The following is a 1,265-nucleotide window of genomic DNA, read 5'->3' as shown; positions in this document are numbered from 1 at the left end:
AGTCATCCTTGACTCTTCCCTCTGCTTGGAAGGCTCTACCTCCAAAACTTCTCAAGGTCAGGGTTGGCTCCAATCACCCTTTAGATCTTAGCTCGCACCCCTCCTCAGAGAGCTTTTCCTAACCACACAATCTGAAGTGGACCCAGGCACTCTCTCACAGCCCTGTTTCATCGTCATCATGGCACTTACTATGAGGTATGTTTATCTTTTTCTTCGTCTTGTGTTCTTGCTCACTGTCTGAGTCACAGAGGGTGTAAGCTTCCCTGAGAGCAGAAGTCTTGCTTGGATCCTGGAACAGTGCCTGTAGTTGCTCAATAAGTATTACTTGAATGTATAACTCAGATCTCTGTCAGCCAACCCTACATTTCACTAGGAACATAAGTCTTAAGAAGACTTGTCCAAGATTCCTCATGAGTCATTGGCGGTGTCTGGACTAGAACTCAGGCTTGCAACTCAGGTCTCTATAGGATCTTTCAAAATGTCTAGGGCTGAAGTAGTTCCTGGACTCCAGACAAGTGGCAGAGTGAGAGAGGTCCGAGGTTCATTCCCGGTGTTGCAGTGTGCTGCAAGCCCCATAGGTGGCGCCGGGGCACTCATTTAGCCCCAGGGATCGTCAGAAAACTTGTTAAGGGCTAACCCTAGGGGGAAATTTTGATGAGGAGCAGGATATTTGCATAGTCCTAAATTGTCTCTCCACTGACTGCTCATTGTTGTGCAGGAAAAGTTGTGAGGGAGGAAAAAATATACAGCAATTGGAGTATTATACAGTGGAGAAATCACATAACATCTTGATCATGTGCTCAAAATAACATCACCAATAAGGGGCAGGTGGACATACTGTGCACCCAGATGTAATGCTGTGAGAAGGACATGATGTCACCCATGATACAGTATTGCTGCCAAGGATGCAGAACCTGAATCTCATTACAGAGAAACATCAGGCAAACCCACAATGAAAGACGTTATATTAAGTAAAGGCAGGGGATAGGGGACTGGATTCTTTAAAAATGTCCCTGTCGTTAAAGACAAAGAAAAGCTAGGAAAATGTCCAGGTTCAAGGAGGCTAAAGAGACATGACAGCTAAATGCAATTCCTGACCCTATATTGGGTCCTGTAGTGGAGTGAGGAAAATGTAATAGAAAGGACATTCTTGGGTCAACTGACAAAATGGGGATATGGAGAGTAGATGAGATTATTGTATCAATGTTAAATGTACTAAAGTTGATAACTGAACTGTGGTTATATAATTGAATATTCTCGTTTTT

At 43.8% G+C, this 1,265-nt stretch overlaps 1 annotated feature.

Moving 5' to 3' along the window:
- Positions 379-880: an enhancer, noted in NCBI's record as "NANOG hESC enhancer chr11:8625413-8625914 (GRCh37/hg19 assembly coordinates)". NCBI's record gives its function as "activates a minimal SCP1, AML or CMV promoter by ChIP-STARR-seq in naive H9 embryonic stem cells {active_cell/tissue: H9 hESC(naive)}" and the evidence as "EXISTENCE:reporter gene assay evidence [ECO:0000049][PMID:30033119]".

Source organism: Homo sapiens, chromosome 11 (genome assembly GCF_000001405.40).
Source record: "Homo sapiens chromosome 11, GRCh38.p14 Primary Assembly".
NCBI lineage: Eukaryota > Metazoa > Chordata > Mammalia > Primates > Hominidae > Homo > Homo sapiens.
This window is presented reverse-complemented; position numbering and strand designations above follow the sequence as displayed.